The sequence below is a fragment of the Homo sapiens genome, chromosome 1 (genome assembly GCF_000001405.40).
Source record: "Homo sapiens chromosome 1, GRCh38.p14 Primary Assembly".
NCBI classification, from domain to species: domain Eukaryota; kingdom Metazoa; phylum Chordata; class Mammalia; order Primates; family Hominidae; genus Homo; species Homo sapiens.
Window position 1 is genome coordinate 91,798,196 of NC_000001.11, and position 27,341 is coordinate 91,825,536.

At 42.6% G+C, this 27,341-nt stretch overlaps 1 protein-coding gene across 11 annotated transcripts in view, besides 2 other annotated features; it reads right to left on the reverse strand.

Moving 5' to 3' along the window:
* The window catches only part of TGFBR3 (transforming growth factor beta receptor 3), a 225,660-nt gene that overhangs the window by 117,853 nt on the left and 80,466 nt on the right, over positions 1-27,341 (reverse strand). The window contains exon 3 of one of the 11 annotated variants that reach the window (NR_036634.2): positions 2,764-2,860. The exons of the other annotated variants lie outside the window; for them this stretch is intronic. The gene's annotated coding sequence lies outside the window, so the exon portion shown is untranslated. The remainder of the gene's footprint in view (positions 1-2,763; positions 2,861-27,341) is intronic. 11 annotated transcript variants of the gene reach the window in all.
* Positions 5,571-5,840: an enhancer, noted in NCBI's record as "active region_1308". NCBI's record gives its function as "activates an Ori minimal core promoter by ATAC-STARR-seq in GM12878 lymphoblastoid cells {active_cell/tissue: GM12878}" and the evidence as "EXISTENCE:reporter gene assay evidence [ECO:0000049][PMID:35858748]".
* Positions 11,357-11,466: an enhancer, noted in NCBI's record as "active region_1309". NCBI's record gives its function as "activates an Ori minimal core promoter by ATAC-STARR-seq in GM12878 lymphoblastoid cells {active_cell/tissue: GM12878}" and the evidence as "EXISTENCE:reporter gene assay evidence [ECO:0000049][PMID:35858748]".

The following is a 27,341-nucleotide window of genomic DNA, read 5'->3' on the forward strand; positions in this document are numbered from 1 at the left end:
ACGGAGTCTGAGGACTCAAGCTCTGCATGCCACCTTCCACACAGGCACTGTCCACCTAACCTAGAGGCACTCAATGTTACGGGTGTTCCCAAAGCAAATGCCTGCCGTTGGCATCTCTGTGGGAAGTTCCTGTCCCTTCAGAATAGCTGCCCTACCAAATAAAGCCTGAGCTCCACCACAGAGCACAGGAGGCCCTTCTTGATCTAGCCCCTTCCTATGTCTCATCCCTCCCCACTCCACGTCAACTTATTTAAAGGTCTCCAGACACACCAGGATGTTTCCCAACTCCATGTCCTCATTCAAGCCTGCTTCCTTTACCCAAATTCCTCTTCCACTCTCACTCCGCCCCCACAACAAACATCTCAAGCTGAGGAAGGCTCTCTTTCTCTGCCCTCCCGCAATCCATCTGCCTGTCTCCACTACTGCATTTACATGATAGCCACTGGTGTACACATCCATCTTTATTGGTCGAATGTGACCTCTCTGAGGGCTGTGGGTACTCATCTTTGTATCCTCAGCATTCATCTGCAGTGCCTGGCATATATGAGATGCTCAAAAAACGTTTGTTAAATGTATAAATGAATCATTGAGCTTAAAAAAAATTGCCCCCTCTCAGATCAGTGAGTAGGGCACCATTCCAGGGACTTGGATTTGGCTGTAGGGAATAAGGGAAATAGGCTGCTACAGCCCTGACATCACTGCAGCCTCCTTTCACATTGGCTGGATTGATAGAGACATACCCAGGGGAAGAAGGAACTGGATGCTTACTCCTCACACACTTCTGTGAGCTTGGTGCTATTGTCTCCATTCAATCACCCAGGAAACTGGGCTGAAACAGTGCCCACTACACCACAACCTCCCAGATAGAACCCACGAAAAAGGCCTGAATGTACTCCAGTTTGTTCTTCCTGACTTCTAAATAATAAAGGTACCCTCCAGGGTTGCAAACAAAGTTCAGAACCAGCCAGTCTGCACCCAGAAGCAGACACCCTGCCTGGTGGGCCAAGTCTATTTCAGGACTTACAGAAATTATCTAGGCTGATAATAGCTATCTGGTCTGAAATGAAGTATGTGCCTTCTCAAATAGTCACTGCCACTCTCTGGACTGTGGCCAGCTGCTTTCTGAGAAAGCATAAGGTGGTGAAGGAAGATGTCCCGAGAGCAACAACAGGAGGTACTGACTGTAAATTCCCTGGAGCCCCTGGCGGGGTGCGGGGAAACCATATGGGCAGGTGCTCCCTCTGCTGCCCTCATCCTGCCCTCCTGGCCTCCGGCTTTCCCAGCCGCAGTGGGATGTCTGGTATACTTCACACCCAGAGCTTCAAGAAATTATCCTACTCCTACTCAATTCTGGGGACACACACTGGCTACAGCTACCCACACTGGGAAACCCTTCTGAACTGGTTGCAGAGCCTCCTGCCATGAATTTACAATTATCACAAATTAAGCACAAATAAAAATGCCTTTCAGTTCCATTCTTGTATGTGTGCAAAGCTCTGAACAGGCTGAAAACACATCTGCAAAAAGGCCTGCAATCTATTTGATCTGCCCTCCTCTGCATGATGCCACCATCACCCATTAAGATCTTCCTTAAATCACCATACTGCTCACCTCCACACTGGGGCAGGGGCAAAAACTCAATGGAAACAAATCAAATAATAAGGTACTCCCAAAGAGGGAGGGAACTAGTGCCAGGAAGCCTTCAGTGCTGAAGATGTGCACTTCTTGCCTTAGAGTCTATGCTCTCTGTTTTGCCAGAGTCCAGAACAGGGCAAACACCCTCTTTAAGGGCTAGAGCTCTAGCCACGGGTTGGTTATATGAGTCAGTCCAAGGTCAAAGAAAAGAGAAAGCAATGCATGGGGCACACCCTGATGAAGTGACAGGACAGCGACTCTTTACAGAGACCCACTGGAGGCCAGGTGCAATGGCTCATGCCTGTAACACCAACACTTTGGAAGGCCAAGGCAGGTGGATCGCTTGAGCCCAGGAGTACAAAAGCAACCTGTGCAATATGATGAAACCCCATCTCTACAAAAAAAAAAAAAATATATATATATATACACACACACACACACACACACACTCACGCATATATATACATATATGCATGCATATATGTATATATATGTGTATATGTGTGTGTGTGTGTGTGTGTGTGTATATAAAAGCAGTTGTGGTGGTGCACACCTGTAGTCCCAGCTACTTGGGAGGCAAAGGTGGGAGAATCACCTAAGCCCAGGGAAGTCCAGGCTGCAGTAAGCCGTGATCACACTATTGTACTCCAGCCTGGGTGACAGAGTGAGACCCTATCTCAGAAAATAAAAATAAAAATACAGAGACTTACTTGGCTTGACGTTTAAATACACTCAACAGTGTGTTCCTGACCATCTGACACAATAGAGTAGTATTTGGTTTTCGAAGTTCCTCATAGAATTTTTTTCCCTCCAAGATTGAAAAAGAAAAAAAGCTACAACATATGATTAAACTATCCTTACACCAAAAAGACAAAAAAAAAAAATCAGGAATTATCTACCACCATCCCCAGGGTCATATAAGAAATGGTATCTTTAACAGTTCAGCATACAACGTAATAAGAGACACTGCTCGGCCCAGTGCGGTGGCTCATGCCGGTAATCCCAGCACTTCAGGAGGCCGAAGCGGGTGGATCACCTGAGGTCAGGAGTTCAAGACCAGCCTAGCCAACATGGTAAACCCCGTGTCTACTAAAAATACAAAAATTAGCTGGGCTTGGTGGCGTGTACCTGTAATCCTAGTACTCAGGAGGCTGAGGCAGAAGAATCGCTTGAACCCGGGAGGCGGAGGTTGCAGTGAGCCAAGATCGCGCCATTGCACTCCAGCCTGGGCGACAAGAGCAAAACTCTGTCTCAAAAAAAAAAAAAAAAAGAGAGAGAGAGAGAGACTGCTCCCATTTATTAAGTGCCCACTATGCAATGCTAGGTGCTGCATATCCTTCTGACACATTGCAAGGAAGCAGCACTAACCCCATTTTAAAGAAAGCAAAGTAAGCTCAATGTGCTTAAGTAACTGTTTCAAGGTTGCCCCAGTCACCCAAAGCTTCAGACTTGGCCCTCCTTGCGGCTCTCTCTCTCAGGAGGCAGGGTCCTGAAGTGCCCGGCCTTGCAGTAATCAGGGCAAGAGAGATGATGGTGCCCGTGGAGATGGAGAGAAGGGGACAGAGTTAAGTGGCCAGGGAGAGAATCCACTGGGTGAGGAGAGGGAAAGGGTGACCAAGCATTGTACGGTGAACATCCAGCCCAATGCCTGGGCTACTGTGCCAACACTTTCTGTGAAAATAAAAAAGTGGTCATAGATTTAGGGGTGAGATCTACCGTTTTGTAACTTACTTTGAAATACCTCCCAAAAAATAAGATGGATTGACAGATGGAGAGATATTTGATAAAGCAACTATTGCAAAATGCTAATTGTGGAATCTAAATGTTCCCTGTACAATGGTTTCAACATCTCTACATGTTGAAACTTTTCATTAAAGAAAAGTTGGGAGAGGGAGGCAATGCTTATAAAAAAAATTAAGCCCAGAAATGCCTTAAGAAACCTTCCTCAAAAAGTGTGCCAGCATCACACTGCTGCTGAGAGAGCAAATTGGTATAATTTTTCAGTGGTATCCAAGGCCCCACAAAAGGTACACATCCTTTGACCCAGCAACTTCCCGCTAGGAATTTTATCCTGAAAAACATAACTGGATAAGTTTGCAAGGGGTACAGAATGTACAAGTGAAAAAAATTAAGACTTAAGGGAGGGGACAAAAAGTCCCTGTGAAAACACCCAGGCTAAAGGACGTAGGTTAAACTCTAAGTATGGGGTAGAGTAGTCCTCTCCTAAGAGAACAGACACAGTGTAGGAATCAGGGGAGAGGGTTTCCTTTGGGTAAAAAACAAGCCTCTCTGGCCAAGAAAGGAAAGAGGCAGTGTGATTGTATGAAGTTTTCCTTTGAATATCTTGGAGAGACGCTCTTCTGCCACCAGCTGTTCCATCGCCGCCTTCCAGGTAAAATGCCTGCCAGGCCTTCCTGGAGTGCACTATCCTTTTTCCATAGATTTTCTCAAACACATCCATGGGTTCAACTCTCATCTCTTTACAGAAATGACTCCAGGCCATCTCAGACTTACTTATTTCTCCTTTTTTTTCTTTTTCTTTTTTTTTTTGAGACAGTCTCGCTCTGTCGTCCAGGCGAGAGGGCAGTGACGCGCTCTCAGCTCACTGCAGCCTCCACTCCCCAGGTTCAAGCGATTCTCGTGCCTCAGCCTCCCAGGTAGCTAGGATTACAGGCGCCCGCCATCACACCCAGCTAATTTTTGTATTTTCAATAGAGATGGGGTTTCATCATATTGGCCAGGCTGGTCTCGAACTCCTGGCCTCATGTGATCCACCTGCGTTGGCCTCCTGAAGTGCTGGGATTACAGGCGTGAGCCACCATGCCTGGCCCATACTTCTTTTTCTAAGCTCCAGGCCTGAATATTCAACAGCTCCTTCACCATCTACTTTTGTCTCATGGACACCCAATCTCAACATGCAGAACTCAGGATCTTTACCCCTCGTGCCTGTTGTTCCTCCTTCATTCCCTCCCTAAGTAAATGGCACCAGCCTCTTCCTACGTACACCTGGCACCAACCTGGGGGAGGTGCCCCAACATCACCCCTTCCCTCTCCTCACCCAATGGATTCTCTCTCTGGCCACTCAACTCTGACCCCTCCTCTCCATCTCCATGGGCACCATCGTCTCTCGTTCCCTGATTACTGCAAGATGCTCTTAATTCTTATCTCCACCAAAATGTCTTCTATAGAGCAGCCAAACTGATCTGAAAAACCCAAGTCTGATCCTGCTTTTCTCTGCTTTAAAAGACTTATCACTCCATCTCTGCTGTCCAGATGAAGCCCCAAAACCTCAACGTGACTTACAAGGCCCTCCAAGATCTGGCCCTGCTTCCTGCCACGGCCCCGTCTCTCATTCCTCGGACACTTGCTCCCGTGTTTTGGCCATTCTGGTGAAGCACAGAAGTGCTCACTGTCTCCCTATAGCCATCATTCTCCTTTCTTCAAGTGCCAGCTGGACACACAGCCACCCAGAACGAAAGCTATGTTTCCCAATCCCGCTAGCAGCTGGCAGCTTCCTGTATGAAGGGAAGGAGGTCAGTTCTTCTGCCATTTCCTTCTGACTGCTGGTTGGAATGTGGATGTAACAGGCAGCACTAGAGCAAGCCTTTGGGGCCATGAGACAGAAGCAGCATGCTGAGGAGGGCACAGCAACTGAGAAGCCACCTGGGTACTTGATGAACATGGAGCCACGGGATCAGCTCTGAACTGCTTTTTTTTTTTTAATAGGAAACAAATGTAAACTCTTTTTTTTATATAAGCCAATGTTATTTTGGGTTTTCTGACATTTGTAGCTTAACCTACCCTAATTAATGTACTTGCCTTCTTTTATTTCATCAGAAGTGCCAACCTTTGTCCCAAAGGAGCCTCTGAATAGCAAGGTTTCCTCCAGGAACACATTCCCCACCGTTTCTGTTCCTTCCCACCACCATGGCCTGACAAACTCCTGCTCATTCTACTGATCTCTCAAGGAAGCTCCCCAAACCTCCCTCACTGTGTTAGATCTGTATTTTTTCATACTCTCATGGTACTCTCCGTTTCTCTCCACAGCACTTCCTGTGATGAGATGTACATAATTATTTGTGCAATTATTGGTTTCACATCTACATGCTCCCAAAGACTGCAAACACCACGAAAGAACAGAACCCAACCACTCTGTCTGCTGCTGCCTGCCTCACCCCAGCACAGTATCTGGCACAAAACAGACACTCAATTATCGCTGAGAAATGGGGAAGAACCATGGGGTGATGCATGCTGCATGGGCTTTGTGCCAATAAGGGACTGTCTGTCTCAGACTTCCTGCTTTCACTCTTTACCTGAGAGCCAAAGCCTCACTCTTATACTAAAAGGGGCAGAAAAAAAAAACACCAACCATGAAATGAAGGAGGTGGCATTTTTGGTTGCTAAGAATCAAGTCCCAGTTGGGGCTTCCCCACCTTCAACTGTCACAGAAAGCAGGAAACACAAATCTGTTTTTGTCTTCTCTTCCCGGACACTCTTCTGGCCAATCCCCTCTCTCCAGGTGGCAGGACAATCCTCTATCTCTCCGTTGGCACACCACAGCCCCAGCCTCATCCTGCCACTTCTGGGTCAGGCCCTAGCCTTCCTGTCCCTTTCCCTCTGCCACAGCCAGCTCATGAACCTGTCTCCCATCCTTCCCCCTTGGCCTCATAGTGGTTCCTTCCGCAATCTGTCTGCACAATGCCAGGGCCAGCTCCATTCAGGAAGGCTTCCACCTGGGAACAGCATGATCCACCCCACAGGCTCTAGCACAAGTGCCTGAGTTAACACAGTGGCTCAGATTCTCACTTGACCACCATGGGGCCCGAGTATAGCACCTCCCAGCCACGAAGGCTTGGAAACCAGGAAAACATGCTCCGAAACCCCATCTGACTCATCTGCTCACTTTTGTGGTGACCTGTGAGCTCTGGAGCTGCTACTGTAGGCCCTCACCGGCAGCCTCAAAAGGCTGGGAGTGTCTCCTGTGGCCACGGCTGAAAACCCACATCCCGTCTTCCCTACGCAATCTCTTCCCTGCAGTCAAGAGCCAAGTGAGTGACATGCTCTGATGATGCTCCTTATCAGCAGCACAGCAAAAGCTGTGTTACCACGTAAGGATCAACCAGGGCGTGGACGATGACGAAAGAACACACCTGAAAGCAACAATGCTCATAAGCACACACGCGTGCTCACTTCACACCATACTCTATCATGAAAAGGCATGTTGCAGATACTTCATCCAAAGCCTCACAGAAACTCTATAACCCACTATAAGTAAACTGTTGTGAGCCACACAGAGGTAGAATGTGTATTTCAGAAAAGTGCTTCCTGGCAGTAATGTCCATATGGATTCACCTCCAGAGACAATCCTCACTGGTGCCTCCCAATCTGGATATTTCAGTTCATTCTGGGCATCTGGTATGTGACGAGTACAAGATTCCTTAAGGGTAGCTCCCAAAGAAATCTAACTTTTCCTTGGACTCAAAGTGTGAGCTGAGTTTAATCCTCCCCTGCTGGCTTACTCGAGAAATCTGATCTCAAAATCTTGCCGGGTGTCGTGTCTTGTTTGAACTGAAGTCAGGCTCTGCTCTTCTGTTTGGTACACTCTCCTCGGCCACCAGCACAGAGGCACAGCCCCCTTCACCCACAAGATGCTACTTCTACTGACAAAAATATTTACTGACCTGAAGACAGCACAAATTCAAATAAACTCTGGTGAGAAACTCCCCAGGTGGCCCAGACCACGGCCACACTGCCAAGGCCACTGCCAAACCAGCCTCCTTCACAAAGCAGGCCCCCACCGCTCGGGTGCTCAGCAGCTGGGCCACCTGAGGCCACACTGTGAAGCACATGGTGGCTCCCTGGGCCGCTGCCTTGTGTGAGAAGCTGGGGGTTAACTCTTCATATGTATGGTTACCACACCACTAGGGGCCACACATCTTGTACATGTTTCTGATTCTCACAATACCACTGTGAAGACAGTGTTAATGCCCTCATTTTAGAGTGATGGGAAACTGGAGCTCATGAGAGGCTAAGAAACACATCAGCAGGAAGTGGCAATAGGGGATTTGAACCTGGGTCTCTGAGACTCCAGCTCCAGACTTTTCCCCTGGCAGAGCACCACCTGCCTCTGCCTTGTACTTTCCAGTTCCTCGCCTCAGGACTGGGTGAACAGATGCATAGGCCAAATGTAAACATTCATTCATATCTACTAAAATAAAATAAACTGCTCGGTTCACACGTATCACCTTTGGTTGACTTAAAAGACTTCATGAACTTAATGAAACTCGTTTCTCATTTTACCAAATGCCCTCCTCCATCCTTTTCACTAATGCTTGCTTATCTGGACACATGGGAAACGTTCCTAAGATCTCGCTATAACATCAATGTCTAAATTCCCAGTTCCACTTAAAGAAAAAAATCAAATGGACTCACCCTTTCATTATGTCCTTTAGCTGCAACACAGCATTCCAATCTCAGTTACAGAACCCCCACATCCCTGCTGGCGGTGGGCCAGCTCCAAAACTCGACAGAACGCAGACAAAGCATTTGGGAACAGATGCATTTGCTGCACAGACTTTAAATTTAATCAGTGCCAAAAGAAATTACTAATATCACACCTCATGCAACATGGACAAAAATACTGGCGGGGGGGGTAATGTTTTGGAGAAGACATAGTAAGTAATTTTCACATTTAATAAATGTGATCCTCAAGCATTCTAAATACCAATGCATACCAAGTTGACACAAACATCTGGTACCTATTCCACATAATTTTCAGCACTCTGATTCCCCATATCACCCAGGGTTCTAATGAGGAGCGTGTGTTCAGCTGTAATAAAAGTGGTAAAGATGCAGAGGGAATTAAGGGGTAACATTATAGGCTGGGACCAAGACATCGCAGTGGGGAGATTTTATTCTAATGACACCATTGGCTAATAAGGTTTTTGTTATTGTCCCACAGGGAATTCTGAAATGCTGTCAGCTGCAAAGAGGGACAAACTCCCACAGATTGTGGGACTGGGTACTACAGGATCTATTCTGCCCTTGGGCTGAAAATCCTTTCTACCCCCATGGGATGCAAGAATCTGTAAGAAAGGGCACCCAGGATGATTTCTCAGCCAATAGCACTGCCTCACTTCAATCGAGCTTCATGAGAAGGAATGTTACCAACACAGGATATGACGCAAAAACAAAGCTCCAAGAAAAAAACACCTGGAATGCCCTGAGCTCACAAACACGCCTGACGTGTACATAACATATGCTCATGTTTGTACCATCTCAAATTACAATTCATTGGAACTACAGCGCCTTGGGGATGGAGCGGTGGAATGTACCACCATTAAACTCCAAAGAGGGCGCTTCTACCACAGCTCCTACCTGGGTTTTTCAACAATAAAACCTGGCTTCAGGCTGAAGCTTATCCCTAGTAGGAAAAAGGTAGACAAGTCCTAAAACTTGTAATTTGGATTTCTCAGGGGGAAAAAAACTAGATTTTTCTACAGCACAACTCTTAGGCATATCTTATCATGGTTTCTTTCACCCTCCAAGCAAAATCTACATCCAAACCTTCCTCCTAACAAACTAACCCTCTTCCAAGAAGTCAACCACCAACTTTTTGGGCCAAAAGCCAGTGCATATTTGTGTATTGTTGTGTTGAAATCATGGAGCAACCATGTTGGAGAATTTCCTGTATTCAATTGTGTTTTCAAATGTTCAAAAGGAAACAAAGGGCACAGGTTCTTTAGGAATCCAAATTCTCAAAGTGTTGGGAAGTGCCAAGCTATAAAAGGCACATACTCTTCCATCTAAACAAGATACCACTATACAATCTGGACGTGCCAACAGAGGGGGATTTCTGCAGCCCTCTGAGGAAGTGGTGCTGTTATGTTTCATGGTTTTTATGACCTGAAGTGAAGCAGTGGCATGTCTCAGAAGTCACCACTGGACATAGCAAGAGGTGTCCTTGTATTACAGAAGCACCGGGAAATAGTGAACCAGGAGATACAGGAGCTGGGTTTTAAGCATTCCATGATCTCTTATTCTATGACAGGCTTGACTTATAGATCAAATGATGCACTATATGTGAAAACGCTTTACAAACTTCAAATACTATTAGAGACATAAAGTCCCTTGAGGGGAAGAGAAATAAATGAATGAGAACATTTTCTCCAATCAAAAACTGTTTTCTCTAAAAACTTTTAGAATGATTAATAAAATATCTAAGATAAGATGTTCTTATACTACTCCCTAGCATTACTCCCCAGAAATTATTTCTATGAATTGCACTGGAAAGACTTAAAATAAAACTACAGCTGGGCATGTACTCCCTGTAATCATGCCTGTAATCCCAGCACTATGGGAGGCCAAAGCAGGAGTGCTTGAGGCCAGGACTTCAAGACCAGCCTGGGCAAAATAACCAGACCCCCATCTCTTTAAAAAAATTTTTTTAATTAAATTAAACTATGCACAGTATTAGAGTAAAAATTCCTGTTCTCTGAGCACATTCTGGAAGTACAACTCCCAAAGGCGAGAACAGGCCATGTTTCTGCCTCCAGGGAATTCCATCAATCCATAAAGACAATCAGTTGGCATCATCTTGGCCAACAGTTCTTCTGATTTACTTTGTTTGGTATTTTGTTTTGTTTTGTTTTTGGAGACACAGTCTCACTCTGTCGCCCAGGCTGGAGCACAGTGGCGCAATCTCAACTCACTGCAAATTCCGCCTCCTGGGTTCGAGTGATTCTCCTCCCTCAGCCTCCCAAGTAGCTGGAATTACAGGCATGCACCACCACACCCGGCTAATTTTTGTATTTTTAGTAGAGATGGGGTTTCACCATGTTGGCCAGGCTGGTCTCAAACCCTTGGCCTCAGGTGATCCACCTGCCTCTGCCTCAGCCTCCCAGAGTACTGGAAGTGAGTCACCACACCGAGCACTGATTTACTTTTGACCAATAATATGGTGCACCTGTCCCTATTCTTCTCACAAGAAGGAAGCTTAAACAGAAGGAGACACTGGCTACAGCATTCATTTTGGAGGGGATAAGAATTTATGGGATGTTACTGCCTAATTGGCTCAGAACAGAGACCAAGAACAAATCTGAAGGTTTGAAGGATGGGAGAAAATAAGATCTTTTTTCTCCTACCCTATGAATTTGGCAGATACAAAATAACTGAAGGATAGTACACTTCTTTATTAAAATGCAAATGCTTTATCGACTTAGATTCAAAATATTAAACTGAACTTTATCCCATAAAAAAATTACAACTTAATTCCTACTAATGCAATATCTGATGGCAAAGTAAGACTTGCAGAGCTACAAAGCTACACCTCATTAACCCTGAGGGATGACATTACCAAATCTGTTCATCTCTCAGACCTTGATTTGTACCTAAGATGATCACTAATTTTCTCTTTTTTATCATTTGCAAACTGGTGTCTAGCAAGAAAGAAAAAGATGGGAGAAAGAGAGGTAAGAATGTGTGCAAAAGCACGGAGGAATAACATGCATTGCATGTGGCATGCTCTGGGCCTGGTGAGCATTCTGTTAGGGCTGGTGGCCAGGGTCTGGGGTGCAGAGTCTGAAGCAGAGACAAGTGGCAAGATGAGAAACTGTAAGAGGGTCAGGAAGGGCAGAAGGGGGAAACCACAACTGCTGGGGAGTTGAATCATCGCCTATAACCACTGGTCCTGATTGCAGATAGGAGACCATGGATTAAAAAAGGAAAATCTGCAAACTTTTGGTTTGGCTGTGCAAAATATTGTTAATTACAGCCATGTGTACACACTGGGCCACGAACTAAAACACATTTACTTTAAGGAGTTTATACATAATCAGGGCACTCACAATTGGTTACAGGAATGAGTCAAATGCTTAACACTGAATGCCAAATTATTCAGCTTAATATATAGGTCCCAATTATAAGACTAAACTCTATTCCTTCCTCTTCAGGCTAGCTAGCCTGCTGCTTCAGGTGCTTCTGTTAGGAGGGAAACTGAGAGCTGACATTTGCAGAGAAATTATGAACACCTGGTCACTGGTGTGCTCTTGCTCCTTTCACAGTGAAGCTAAAAGGCTCTGAGAAGCTGTGGACCTGGTTTTTCCAGAGCTTGTGGCAGTTACAGGCCCATCAAGCAGTGCCATCAACAGAACTACTCAGTGTAGACTGGGTCTTAGAGAGACAGAAGGATTGTGCTCGGCTCAGTTGCTGTGGTTCAGAACCACAGTTTTTTGGGGGTAAGTGGACGGGGACAAGGTCTGGCTTTGTTGCCCAGGCTGGAGTACCATGGTGCGATCTGGGCTCACTGCAACCTCTACCTTCCAGGCTCAAGCCATCCTCCCACCTCGGCCTCCCGAATAGCTGAGACTACAGGTGTGTGCCACCACACCAGCTCATGTCTTATATTTTTTGTAGAGACGGGGTTTTGTCATGTTGCCCAGGCTGGTCTCAAACTCATGAGCTCAAGCAATCCACCTGCCTTGGCCTCCCAAAGTGCTGAGATTACAGGCATGAGCCACCGTGCCTGGCCCAGAACTACACTTTTGTATTGCACCTGATAAAATTCAGAGGTCCCTTAAACTGTTACACCTGTTACTCCTTTATAGCAAATATAAGCTTTTATAAATCTATTGCTTCATTTATTTGGGCATATGTTTGTGTGTCCTCTACTTACCAGAAACTCCATGAGGGCAAGGACTGTGTTTCTTTTACTTCCTCTCTCCCAGTGCTTGACACAGTGCCTGGCATGCGGCACGTGTTCATAAACATTTGTTGAGTGATGAATTCATGTGCCAAACAACCAAACTCCCAAGCTGCTAATTCTCTAAGGACTATGGAGCCAGTCTCCTACGTTTAATCCCAGCGCTGCCACATTTTAGCCTTTTAACCTGGGGCAGCTACTTAGCCATTCCCTGCCTCTGTTTCTTTATCTATACAATGGGGATAATAACAGGATCTGCCCCATAAGACTGTTCTTAGGATCAACTCATTTTTATTATTGTATTACTGTAATTATTACCATCTCTTCAACTATGAGATGTGTTCTGGAAAAAAAAATGCAAAAGAGAAACTTCATCAAAGCACTTAGCTAAAGGAAACTACATCATTTGAGTGCCAAACCTAGCTCTGCGCTTTCTAGCAGGCAGGATGAAAAGAAAATATGATGCTCACATAGATATCATAAAAAGGAAACAAATCACAGGCAGGTGCAGTGGCTCACACCTGTAATCCCAGCACTTTGGGAGGCCAGGGTGGGAGGATTGTTTGAGCCCATAAGTTTGAGACCAGCCTGGGCAAGAGAGTGAGACCTCATCTCTACAAAAGATTAAAAAATTAGCCAGGCATGGTGGTGCACACCTGTAGTCCCATCTACTCAGGAGGCTGAGGTGGGAGAATCCCTTGAGCCCAGGGAGGTCAAGACTGCAATGAGCCAAGATAGTGCCACTGCACTCCAGTCTGGGTGACACAGTGAGACCTTGTCTTAAAAAATAAATTAATAATAATAATAATAGGAAACATCAGCTCTTGCAAGAAAATACTTTTCCAAGGTCTCAATTTAAGAGGCCTGTAATAAAGCAAGAATCAGTGATTTTTAACTTTTTAAACCAATAATTTGCATTATTGTAGGTATGAAAGCAAGAAGCAAACTGGCATTTATTTGCTAAAAGCATGTGATGGAGTTTGTGATCTTGGCATGATATATGCCATGACATATATCAAAAAGTTTGGATTTTGCTGTGTCGGGTCAATAAGCAATTTCTGAAAGGATAAAATCTAAGCAGAGATATCAGTTCAATAAAAGGCTAAGAGAGAAGGGTATAATTCAATCAAATTGTATTTAACCTAAAAATAAGATAAAGTACTGTACTATTATTGTTTAATAAACTCTCCCCCAAAAATTTAAAACTGGGATAAATGAGATACCTGTTCAGAAAAACATCTATTGAGCTTGCTCAAGACGAAACTTTACATAGTAACATACTGTAAAACATACATCTGTATCTGACAAAGCAACCTTCCAAAACAGATGTGTCATATGATGTTTCAAAGCTGATTTCCCTTTTTTTTTTTTTTTGAAGTTTGTCACATTCAGTGAAAGTAACTGCTGTTTTTCAGAAATCCGTGTGTGTTATTTTGGAGAAAACTTTGCTTTGGTGTTTTTCCACTCTGGATCAACTAGCTCCTCTCTTTTCCTCCCAAGCAAACCTTCGTAAACCACACTGCCAGAGGGAACTCACCTTTCTCCCATGGAGACAGCTCTAATACTTGCAAATGGTCAAACTGAAAATAAAATCCCTTGCATGCCATTTCCTCCAACAAAAAGGGCTTTGTCTCAAGATTTGCACAGAAAAACATACCAAAGCTACATCTATTATTTAAAGTAGTAATTCCTTCTCTCAGTATTTCATATTCCTTTCTTCCCACCTTACTTCATCTGGCCCAAAGAACCACCTTTCCGCCACACAATAAATGCCTCACTTATTCAACATTGACTGGCAATGAGATATTCCACATAAGCAAATTATCCAAATAACTAAGTCTTTTCTTGTTTCAAAAAAGTAAGTGTCTTTAGTCAGTTTTAAGGAAAATCTGCCTAAAATGTACTACATGCATAATTTCTTCTTGGCCATCTTAAATATTTTGAGCATCCTGAAACTCGCTTATTGTATATTTTTCTTGAAGATGTAGGGCTGCCATTATGAATACTAATTAGTTTATTAAAACTTGATGTGATTTCAGTTACTATATCTACCAAATGGTCCCATATTTCTGTGCTTTATAGTTTTTTCGGTTTCGTTTTTGAGGTGGAGTCTCGCTCAGTCGCCCAGGCTGGAGTGCAATGGCACCGTCCCAGCTCACTGCAACCTCCGCCTCCCGGGTTCAAGCAATTCTCCCTACCTCAGCCTCCTGAGTAGCTGGGATTACAGGTACTCACCACCATGCCCAGCTAATTTTTGTAGTTTTAGTAGAGATGGGGTTTCACCATGTTGGCCAGGCTGGTCTCAAACTCCTGACCTCAGGTGATTTGTCCATCTCTGCTTCCCAAAGTTCTGGGATTACAGGTGTGAGCTACCGTGCCTGGCTGCTTTATAGTTTTGCCTATACTTTTCATACTTGTGGGTTTTTTTCCAGTTCTGGCTGCAGGCCTGTGTCTCTGCCTCAAGCCTATCACTTACCATCTTTTACACTCTTATATACTCAATTTTAAGTCAATCAAGTCTGGATGAAGACCAGAAGATGGCTCCCCAACCCATCCACAGAGTAACCTATATGGACTTTTGATGGCTATTTTCCTTGTAACTCACTAAAACGTTCTGACTTCCTTCATGATGCACAAACCTGCTGTAAAACTGATACTGTATCATAATATTAGTGACAATATTAGGGACACTGTCCACAGTAATCTAATTTGAATGGCAAACCATCAAAGAAAGTTAAGCTTATGCACTAAAGGTGAACTGTTGGGAATTTAGTTCACAACAAAACCATGCTAAAAGCTCTATTCTATTGCTTCTGGGGCTTCAAGCTTTTCAGAAGTTCTAAGAGAAAAAAACAAATGTATAACTAGGTATGACAAAGTTCTTATGGTCCCTCAATCCCATTTTCTCATGGTGACCTCCCCTTTTCTTTCAGGATGAAGAGATATTCAACCTGTACAGCCCAGATTAATTACAATTTTAGCATAATTTGCACATTTTTTCCACTCTAGTTTCTCAATGGAAGTTGTATTCACCATTCCTTCCTGTCTTCTTTCTTGAGTCAGTGCCAGCAAGCACTGTTCATAGAAATCAGATACTCCTACCAGTGCTCCCTGGTCCAGGTCAGTACGAATGATCTACCATGAACCACAGAGTCCAGGGCAGGCTGGAAAGCACCACCTCACAAAGAAAACACCTAACGGGGCCACCCAAAGGCCCCTCTATGGCAGCAGTCCCCAACCTTTTTGGCACCAGGGACTGGTTTCATGGAAGACAGTTTTTCCACAGACCGAGGAGGAGAGGATGGTTTTGGGATGGAACTGTTCCACCTCAGGTCATCAGGCATTCGTGAGATTCTCATAAGGAGCAGGCAACCTAGATCCTTCATATGCGCAGTTCACAACAGGGTTCACACTCCTATAAAAATCTAATGCCACTGCTGATCTCACACGAGGTGGAGCTTAGGCAGTAATGCTCACTCACCCGCTGCTCACCTCCTGCTGTGTGCCCCAGTTCCTAACAGGTCCGTGGCCTGGGGGTGGGGACCCCTGCTCTATGGTACAATACCATTTGCAGCTTTCTAAAATCCAGCCATGACATGGAATCTTCCCTGCCTTTCCATGTTGATTAGAAGTCGGGGTCCAAATTCACTCTTTGCAAATCATTATTATGTAAGGAAAGGCATATGTATATGTATATGTATGTATATATACACACACACACATACATGCCAAGGGCTATTACTGTTTCTCATACTCAAGAAGGTTCGCTTCCTAAGCTCCTTCCTGAAATGAAATCGTTTCTTTGCCCGAGAGATAGCTCATAATTTATCCTAGATTTCAACCTTTTTTAGTAAAAAGTATAGGAAGTTACATGGAAACAATGAATGGAAGTGTACTTTTTTTTAATCAAACAAGAACAGGAAACTTTCCGTGGTTTATGGTAAAACTACATATTTGAGCCAAAGAAAAAAATAAACTATGCTCAACCCCTTTTTACTCTCCCCTATCCAAAACATATAAGAACATGCACAACTGACAACCACAAGACAAATCTCAACACCAGGGACAAATTAATATTTATAGGCTTCAAAAATATACTTCCCCAAATTACTTAATAAACCCCTTCAAACAGGCCGACACCTACTTCTTCTACTATTGTATGACCAAAATGAGTCATAATAAAACTTAGGAATATTAAAGACAATAAGTGAGGAAATTCCAGAAAATATAAAAACTATTTCAGGGAGCCAAAACAGAACTATATTTATTTTTCTATCAAAATGCATAGGTATAAATAAACGGGCAAATAAAACAGGCGCTCACAAAAGTAAACATATACCCGGCTGCAGTTCTACAACATAGTCTTCTAAATTACCACCTCCTCCACATTAGAGAAATTACTTCCTTCAACAAAATTAACCTCCAACACCCTCCAAACTGTAAAAATCTCTACTATACTGTGAGCAATTTATAAAAGCAGGCATTTTTGAGGCCAGGCACAGTGGCTCACGCCTGTAATCCCAACACTTTGGGAGGCCAAGGCAGGTGGATCACTTGAGGCCAGGAGTTCAAGACTAGCCTGGCCAACATGGTGGAACCCCAACTCTACTAAAAATACAAAAATTAGCCGAGCATGGTTGTGGGGGCCTGTAATCCCGGCTACTTGGGAGGCTGAGGTAGGAGAATCACTTGGACCCGGGAGGCGGAGGTTGCAGTGAGCTGGGATCGCACCACTGCACTCCAGCCTGGGTGACAGAGCAAGACTCCATCTAAAAATAAAATAAAATAAAATAAAATAAAATAAAATAAAATAGGGATAGTCCTGTCCTAGCTAATCCTCAGGGTCATCATGAAAACAAATGAGATCATGGCATTTGAGAAGTGTTTAATTAAATCAGGAAGTTCTATAAAAATATAAAGATAACATCAATAAGTATATGAAAGATCAACAGAAAAGAACCTCCTTTCTCCTCACTACCCACTTTACGTTACAAAAAAGAAGCCCACAGGATACAATGGGAACCTTGGGAGCACAGAGGAAAGAACACTACATTTGGACCTAGAAGGCCTGGGTTCCAGGCTCATCTCTGCCATTAACAAGTTCCTTGACTTAGGGCCCCTCTCTTGGTTGCCTCACCTGGAGTTAATACTACATACCTTGCCAAAATGAATTAAAGTAAAGGATAGCAAAGAATTCTATAAACTCTAAGTGAGATCCCTATAGAAGAGACAAATGAAATCAATCTGCTGAACAAAAAGTTTGAACTTTAATGGTTTGTGTTATAAAATCAACTGACAAGGAAAGAAGTTGGCTGTAATCAGACTCTTCCCAAACACCCCAAGGAAGAAAGCCAACCAAGACAGAGGAGTGGAGAAGCCTCCACAGTGTGAACCTGGAAGGGCTCAGCTTGTATATTCATTACCTAATGAAACGGGGGCTTTAGAAGTGGGAATTCTGAACCTGTCACTGTGGATGAGAACCTCTCTGAATCCACTTAAACCCATGAATTGAAAGACTGGGTTGGATTTTTTCCATTCCTGGTTAAGATAGAGCCACACAAATCCTAATTCTAAATGTGGATGTTCAACATTCCAGAATAAACAGCAGCTCATGGAGAAAGCAACAGAAGGATGGCAAGAGGAAAAAATAGATCAACAAACTACAACAGATTGGTCACTTAGTAATTAAAAAAGAAAAAAACGAAAAGAAAACAACCCATCTCAAAGTTCAACTCAAGGCTGAATTCCTATCAGAAACTACCAGAGGCCAAAGACTACATCTGCATAATATTTTAAATCTGAGCCTGGTCTTTGAGAAAACATTTGACAAAGATTACCAAAACATCTATTTTTCTTTCTTTCTCCTCATTTTTCTCAATTATTTTCCCTAATCCCTACACTTCACTGACCACTCCTGCGTTCTCAACTGCAGTAAGCAAATACATACTAAGTTGGATAACATATTATTTTGTATCTATGGTACACAGCTACAGTGTTGGAATGGCTCCTGATTCTTCCTGGGTTAGCAAATGTTCACTTAAATCAAGTGTACCACCTATTTCAGCTATTGAGTCTCTTTCATCTTTATGGGACTATATTTTGAAAATCACTAGAAACTGCGTGGTTCCCATATATTGGGCTCAACTGAAACTTTAAACTCATGCAATAACTGTTAATATTCAAGTATAATTTTACCTAGCAGTAAAGTTATATTTTGCACATCAAAAGCAAAATGAAGCATTAAGAAATTTAGTTATATACATTCTTTCATATCCCTTTACATAAGCAGAATACAAAGTACTTACTTTTTTTCCCCCAAATGAATACAGGATTTCAACAACATTAAGACATGATTATTTTCACTTACTCCCATATAATAGGTATTCTTATTAAAGAAAACATCTTAATGTCACCATATATGAATTCATCTAATCTCTGAGTACTCATTTATCATCTCTACAACTACACATTTGACAGAACCAAACTGTGGCCCTAAGAAACAAGAATTACTGGCATAGCTAAGAATTCAAGAAATCAGAATACAGTCTCCAATTATGCATTTACTTCAAATAAGAACAATAACTTGAAACTCTGTGTTAGGCTTTGAATTCACCTCCAGCCTGACTTTAAAAAGCTACCATGAGGCCTAACTCCAGCTGGCAGTAGTAAACATCCCTGGCTATCTAACAATATTTTTATAAACAAAGCATCATAAAGAACATAACGTTCAAACGGCATGGAAACTGTTTTCCACGGTCCATATTTGACAATCTTTCAAAAAAATGTTAATATTACACATATTAGCACTGTGTAATATATAAGATGTAACCCCCTCTTCACACCAAGATCAGTTGCAAAAGAACACTATGATCATATTTCAGAAAGTAACATGTAAGGAAAAAGAAAAAATAAAGAACACTATGACCTTGGCAAAATTCTCAAGTGTTCAGACAGAAACTTCTAGAAGTGCTTGTTTGTTTGTTTTCAAATTCTGCTTTTTGAAATTACTCACTTGATTTTTAGGCCAGAAAGGATGCAAACGTCTGAATTTCTGCAGTCACCTCCCTCCCACTGCTTTTAATTGCTCTATAAAGCAATCCCTGTGGATACCTATCTTAAACTGCCCTGGCCTTGCCAGGACAAATGTTGGCCCATGTATTCCAGTAAAGCCATGAGTATTCTGAAGGTCAAACAAAATACATATTATTTCCAATCAGAAAGGAAGCCTGTGCTTTCTGGAATAAGGCCCCAGCTCAACCTTGACTTGGTGCGCTATGAGGCAAATAAACCAAGAACTGGGAATGGCCTTCCTTTTTAATCAGTACTTTCTGAAGGATGCTACTGATAACAGAAAAAAAAAAAAAAAGTCAATATACTTGATAATTCACATCTCCCTCTGTCTTGGCTGGAGTTTTTTACAGATGCATTTACAGATATTTAAAATAATGATCATAAATAAAGCTTTAAGTTTAGAGTATATAAATTTTTATTTTTCCCCCACTCCTGAAAAAGGCTTGATGGTTACTTAGCTTTTTCTTTTCCTTTTTTTTCTATTTTACCAAACAAGTTTCCACAAGTCCTTCCTACGCGTGTCCTCACAGCCAAGCAAAGAGCAGTGAGATTTCTCACCATTAATTCACTCTTCATTTCACATGTTCCTACAGCACCAGCTGTTAGTTTATATTTTCAGTCTTTACTATTAAAAAAAAATTTCAACTGCAACTGCACCATTTCCCCTTAGCCCCAGCCTTTTTTTTTTTTTTTTTTTTTTTTTTTTTTTTTTTTTTTTTTTAGGAAAGTTTAGGACAGCAGAAAAACTGCTGAGCTGTGACACAAAGAAAAGCTGACTCTGCACATGCCTCATTGTTTTCTATTTTCATTCCAGCACAGTTGTGGCTGGAAACCAGCCTTCAGGATTCCCCGTGGACCTTGCCAGCCCTGGTCCCTGGTGTTTTAAAATGTTACACTTTATACACTACTCATAGAGGTGTGATTCAATTGAGTATGTTCCCTGTGGTTCTGAGTGAGGCTAATATATATCATGTATCTTTGGAGAAGTAACCAAAATATGTGTTTAGGGAAAAGGAAAAAAATAGGATCAAGGGAGTATTCAGAGATGTAATTACACATACTCAAGTGGGACCTTTTGTGTGTGTGTCTTGGAGGTGGGAGATTTAATGTAAACACAGACCACGTTTGTGCTTTCTGTTATACACATCCTGCATCACCACACACTGAGCACACATGTGTTAAAATGCTGACACATTCATTACAAGAACATCATTTATCCTATTACAAGTTTTAGAGTTTTGCATGTCTTTTGTTGATGGTGGGGTTTTTTCCAGATTTTCTTAGTTTTCTTCCTCAAATACACTTGATAACTTATTTTTAAATGTGAGAGCATTATTATAACACCAACAGCATCCTCCTGCAATCTATGGACACAGATTATTTTGCCAGAGTAAAACAGATTCCAAAAGGCTGTTCACACCTTCTTTGGGGGACCTAAAACACAGGGTCCAGGAAGAGCTCAGAAACAATCCTTAAATCCTGATCATCGCCAGGTGTGGTGGTTCATGCCTGTAATCCCAACACTTTGGGAGGCCGAGGCAGGTGGATCATGAGGTTAAGAGTTCAAGACCAGCCTGGCCAACATGGTGAAACCGTGTCTCTACTAAGAATACAAAAATTACCCAGGCATGGTGGCATGCGCCTGTAATCCCAGCTACCTAGGAGGCTGAGGCAGGAGAATCACTTGAACTCGAGAGGCAGGGGTTGCAGTGAGCTGAGATCGCGCCACTGTATTCCAGCCTGGGTGACAGAGCAAGACTCCGTCTGGGAAAAAAAAAAAATCCCGACCATCATCCCACTCCACTGACCTTGTAAGCGAGGCCACTCCTCAAAGAGCTAGGGATCCCACAGGCTAAAAATAACCCTTTGACCCACATAGAAATTACAACTCAGAGGAAGCTGAGACAATTCATCCACTGAGAGCCATTCTCCTGTTTGGAGAGGGCCTACAGGCATCAGCAGCACCTAAACATACAGCCTTTCCTGGTCATGATTTATTTCTTAGCATGACAGTAAATCCATAGCTTACAATAGCAGGACGTTGCTGTCAGACACCAAGGTCTCTCAGCATAGCCACTATCCTGAAGTCATGAATCACACCTCCAAGTCCAGTGACAGGTTCAGAGGCTTTACCACCCCCTCCCTCCCCTAAATCCACAGGATGCCCACTCTGCTTCTCTGCTCATGCGATGATTTCATTAGTTCAAAGATATTCTGCCTTCTATCATTTTTCTCCTTACAGTTCTTAAGAGAATGAACCAGCTTCAGAAAATGGGGAAAGAAAAAACAAACTGATCATCAGATGAGGGTTCAAATCTTGAACTGGCTTCTTAGAAGCTGTGTCACTTTATGCAAGCCACAGTCTTTCTCAGTCTTAGTTCCAGATAAACAGTGAATAGCAGCACATTCTTTATGAGATTATTATAAGACTCAAATGAGAGAATACACAAGAAAATACCTAGCACATATTAAATGCCTGCTAACCTTTTACCTATGAGCAATCATAATGCTCAATTCATACTTTTCAGAGGGTGTAGTCATTCAATAATAAAGACCAGTAGAAATATTTTAAATCTTTTGTAATCTTCTCAGCCAGGTTTGGGACAGCAACTGAACTGTCCAACCTCTCTCTAAAGGCATTACATCATAACTGTAATTACACCAGGCTGTAACTGATATCAATGTAAATACACCTACTGTACTACACCATAACAACATCACTGTTATGGTACTATAAAGTATTACAGGCATAGATGTTAACTGCCACAGTATTTATAATAAACAAATACTTTAAAATAACCAGCCGGGCACGGTGGCTCACACCTGTAATCCCAGCACTTTGGGAGGCCGAGGCGGGCGGATCATGAGGTCAGGAGATCGAGACCATCCTGGCTAACACGTTGAAACCCCGTCTGTACTAAAAAAATACAAAAAAATTAGCTGGGCGGGGTGGCGGGCACCTGTAGTCCCAGCTACTCGGGAGGCTGAGGCAGGAGAATGGCGTGAACCCAGGAGGCGGAGCTTGCAGTGAGCAGAGATTGCACCACTGCACTCCAGCCTGGGTGACACAGCGAGACTCCGTCTAAAATAATAATAACCTAAATGTTCATCAAAAAGGGTGTATCTATATCATGAAATACATATGCTGCATTTAAAACACTGTTATTTGTACAGACAGAAATATCTTATGACATGTTCTTTTTGTATGTAAAGAATGATACAATTTATTAACCTTCTAAAACTATGTGTATTTGTCCATATGCATGCACATACATGCATAGAAAAAGGATTAAATGGATAACTCTAACTATAAATGGTTCTTACCTAAGGTAGGGGTGATGCTAGAGACGGGTTGGAGACACGAGAGGAACTCTGACTTTGCTCTCCATCCTTCTATGAGGTTGACACAAAAGTAATTGCAGTTTTTTCCATTAAAAGTAATAGTAATGGCCGGGCACAGTGGCTCATGACTGTAATCCCAGCACTTGGGAGACTGAGGCAGGCAGATCACCCAAGGTCAGGGGTTCGAGAGCAACCTGGCCAACATGGTGAAACCCTGCCTCTACTAAAAATACAAACATTAGCCAGGTATGGTGGCACACGCCTATAATCCCAGCTACTTGGGAGGCTGAGGCATGAGAATCACTTGAACCTGGGAGACAGAAGTTGGAGTGAGCCGAGATCATGCCACTGCACTCCAGACTGGGTGACAGAGATAAGACTGTCTCAAAAAAAAAAAAAAAAAAAAAAAAGTAATGGCAAAAAACACAATTACTTTTGCACCAACCTAATACATTCTTAATGCTTTTACTGTGCAAATGTGTTTTTGAATATTACTTAGATAATTAAAAATTTAAAAATATGCTCTACTTTATCATAAAAATAATTCTGACCAAAGCCAATGCTAGTTGATTGGTTTCTGCTCTACATATCTTATTTTAAAAATCATATGTGGTTTAAAGGAACAATCTCAGTGTCTCTCTAGGAAGCAGAGAATCCTGGTTTCCTCCACTTCAGTGACAACGCCCTCTCATAGACCTGAGAGCTGTGGCCCAACTTCCTCCTCCTCTGTGGTCAGCAACTCTACGGACCTGGGGCCTTGCCTGGGTAGGATGCTGTAGAGAAAAGACCTGGCTTTGAATCCTGGTTCTGTCTATACCATCTGAAACTTTGCCTTAGTTTTCTCATTTGTAAAATGAAGACATCTACACTTTGTGAGGATTACATAATGCATGCAAATATACGATACATATTAAATGGTCAATAAATGGCAGCTTTTATCTTTACTATTATTAACCAGGTTAGTCTCTAGATTTCAGTATCAATTCTCCTCTGTAAAGGGAGGGCCTATCATTTGATTATTTTGAAAGTTCCCAGCTCTAATAGTCTATGAACATGTGCTATAGAAGACAATGGACAAATATGTGCTAAATAGTGAAGCCAGGTGGCTGAGACCAAAGAGACCAGACAAATGGCTAAGCAGAGCTTTGGCAATAGTGTGACTTATGTGACCTATTACCATATGGGGTAAGAGGCAAAGAGGATAAGAGAAGTCTTTTCAATCCCACCTAGAAGCCTTTAGAATCTGGAGAGATGATAGACAAACCGCCACATTTATATTCTTCTACTGCCAAACAGAAAACATTTCCAGTATCTCCTAGTGCCCGCTGTAGGCTGAGAAGAGCAAAGCATTAAAAAAAAAAAAAAAAAAAAAAAAAAAAAAGATGAATCTTAGTGTGACCTTCCCAAACATAAACTTCATTTTCCAGCCTCACCAATCTTTTAGAACAGAAGATCAAGTCAAATCCCTTTAGAATCAACGGGTAATAATATCTCAGCACATCTAATCTATTTTGGGGGCTCAGTTGAAACCCCATCTCCTTTATTAGCCTTCCCAAATCCTCCTCACTAAAAGCTATCACTCTCTTTCACTTCTCACAGACTTTGTTCTTCAACTCTATTAATTTCTGCTTCACATTAGTTATTTGCATGCCTATTTTATCTCCCTTACAGGGCCATAAACCCCCTTACAAAGCTGAATAAGGGCCGGGTATGGTGGTACACGCCTGTAATCCTAGCACTTTGAGAGACCAAAGCAAGGGAATCACTTGAGTCTAGGAGTTCGAGACCAGCCTGGGAACATGGCAAAACCCCATCTCTACACAAAAATACAAAAATTGGCCAGCGTGGTGGCACGTGCTTGTAGTCCTAGCTACTTGGGAGGCTGAGGTGGGAGGACTGCTTGAGCCCAGGAGCCAGAGGTTGCAGCGAGCCAAGATCACACCACTGCACTCCAGCCTGGGTGACAGAACTAGATAGACCCTGTCTCAAAAATAAAATAAAAATAAAGATGAATAATGTCCTATTTAGTCGCCCATTCACAAGCCTTATTGAGCACCTATCTAGATGGTAAATACTATATAAGGTCCTGGGGATACAGAAATAATAACGCATTTTCCTTCTTCAAGGAGCTCACAGTCTAATGGGAAAGATAGGCCAGTGAACACTCAATCATCAAGGTGTTAAGGGAGCCTGGAGGGGGAGCCTCCCTAATTCACCTCAAAGAAGGGGAAGATGAGAAGGGTCAAAAAAAGGCTTCCTAGGGCAGGTGATATCTGAGGTGATTCTTAAGAATTAATATAATCTACCCAAGCAACATGGATAGGAAATGATGAATCTGTATTAAAACCAACATAGGTACACATACTTTGAAGAACTGCGTGGCAAGTTCTTATAAAGTTACATACAACTCAGCAATTACAGTCCTAGGTATTTACTCAAGAAAACTGAGGACATATGTCCAGAAAAAGACATGTTTATAGAGGTTCATAGCTACTTAACTGCATAATACTAAAAGGAAACAACCTAAACATCCATCAGCAGGTGAATGAATAAACAAATTGGGGTATATCCATACCGCGGAAAACATTCAACATCAAAAAGGAACAAATTACTAATACATGCAACAACTTGGCTGTTGATTCTCAAAAACATTTTGCTGAGCAAATAGAAGTCAGACACAAAAGAGCACATGAACTTCTAGAACAGGCAAAACTAATCTATAGCAACAGAAAGCAGATTAGTAATTGCCTGGGACTGGGGATATGGACTACAGGGAGGCTGAAGAGAATGAAAGGGGTGGAGATGGATAATAGAAAAATTCTCTGTATCTTGATTGCAGTGGTGATTGCACAGGCATATGTATTCATTAATACTCATCAAAATGTACCTTTAAATGTGTGCAATTTGCTGGGTGCAGTGGCTCACGCCTGTAATCCCAAAACTTTGGGAGGCCAAGGTGGGAGGGTTGCTTAAACCCAGGAGTTTGGGACCAGCCTAGGCAACATAGCAAGACCCCGTCTCTACAAAAAATACAAGAAATAGCCAAGTTTAGTGGTGCACACCTGTAGTACCAGTGACTCAGAAGGCTGAGGTAGGAGGATCACCTGAGCCTGGGAGGTTGAGGGTGCAGTGAGCCGAGACTGTACCACTGCACTCCAGCCTGTGTAACAGAGCAACACCCTGTCTCAAAAATAAATATATAAATAAATAAAGTGTACATTTTAATCTATATAAATTATACTTCGATATAAAGTTGATTTTAAAAGAAAAAAAGAGTATGTAGTACAGAACACAGACTCTGGAGCCAGACTGCCAGCTCTATAATTTATTGGCTGTTTAAGAGTTAACTAGTAATGGCATTAATATTCACACTGCATTAATATTTAGATTATAGGCAAAGATCTGGAAGTAAGAAATGACATGATAGTATGAGGACTACAAACAGTTTGGTATTTAGGGAACATAAATCAAGAGGAAAGATGTGAAAACAGATGAGGCCAGAGAGACAGACAGCCGAAGGCTGCAAATCTCTTTGCCCCCACACCTAAGAAAGAGCATCTGACATGCCATGGGTGCCCATTCAAATGTTTATTTTCATTGATGAACATCCATTGAGATACCATTACACACCCACTAGGATGACTAATTCAAAATGACAGATAATAATAAGGTTTGCAAGCATGTGGAGAAACTAGAACCCTCATATATTGTTGCTGGGAGTATAAAATAATACAACAGGCCAGGCGCAGTAGCTCACACCTGTAATCCCAGCACTTTGAGAGGCCGAGGCAGGTGGATCACGAGGTCACGAGTTCGAGACCAGCCTGGCCAAGATGATGAAACCCCATCTCTACTAAAAATACAAATATTAGCCGAGCATGGTGGCAGGCACCTGTAATCCCAGCTACTTGGGAGGCTGAGGTAGGAGAATCGCTTGAACATGGGAGGCGGAGGCTGCAGTGAGCCAAGATCGCACTACTGCACTCCTGCCTGGGTGACAGAGCAAGACTCCGTCTCAAAAAATAATAACAATAATAATGCAACCACTTTGAAAAAGAGTTTGGCAGTTCTTCAAAGGGTTAAACACAGAGTAACCATATGACCCAGCGATTCTACTCTCAGACACATATAAATACAAGAGAAATAAAAACATAAGGATGTGCTTGACTCTGGCCTTGGCCAAAGCCATACTTCCCAGAAAAAAGGGAAAAAACATAAGCCCACACAAAAACTTGCATGTATATGAATGCCCATAACAACATTATTCCTCATATCCCCAGACAGGAAACAATGCAAACGTTCATTAACTGATGATGAATTTTTTAATGTGGTATATACATAAAACAAAATATTACTTGGCCATAAAAAGGAATGAAATACCAAATACATGCTGCAACATGGATGAACCTTGAAAACATGCTAAGTGAAAGAAATTGGTCACAAAAGGCCACATATGGCATGACTCCATTTCTACAGAATGTCCAGAATAGGCAAATCCATAGAAACAGAAAATAGATTAGTAGTTACTAGGGCCTGGGGAAAGGGAAGAATAGGGAGAGATTGCCAATGGATAAAGAGGTTTTTTGGAGGATGA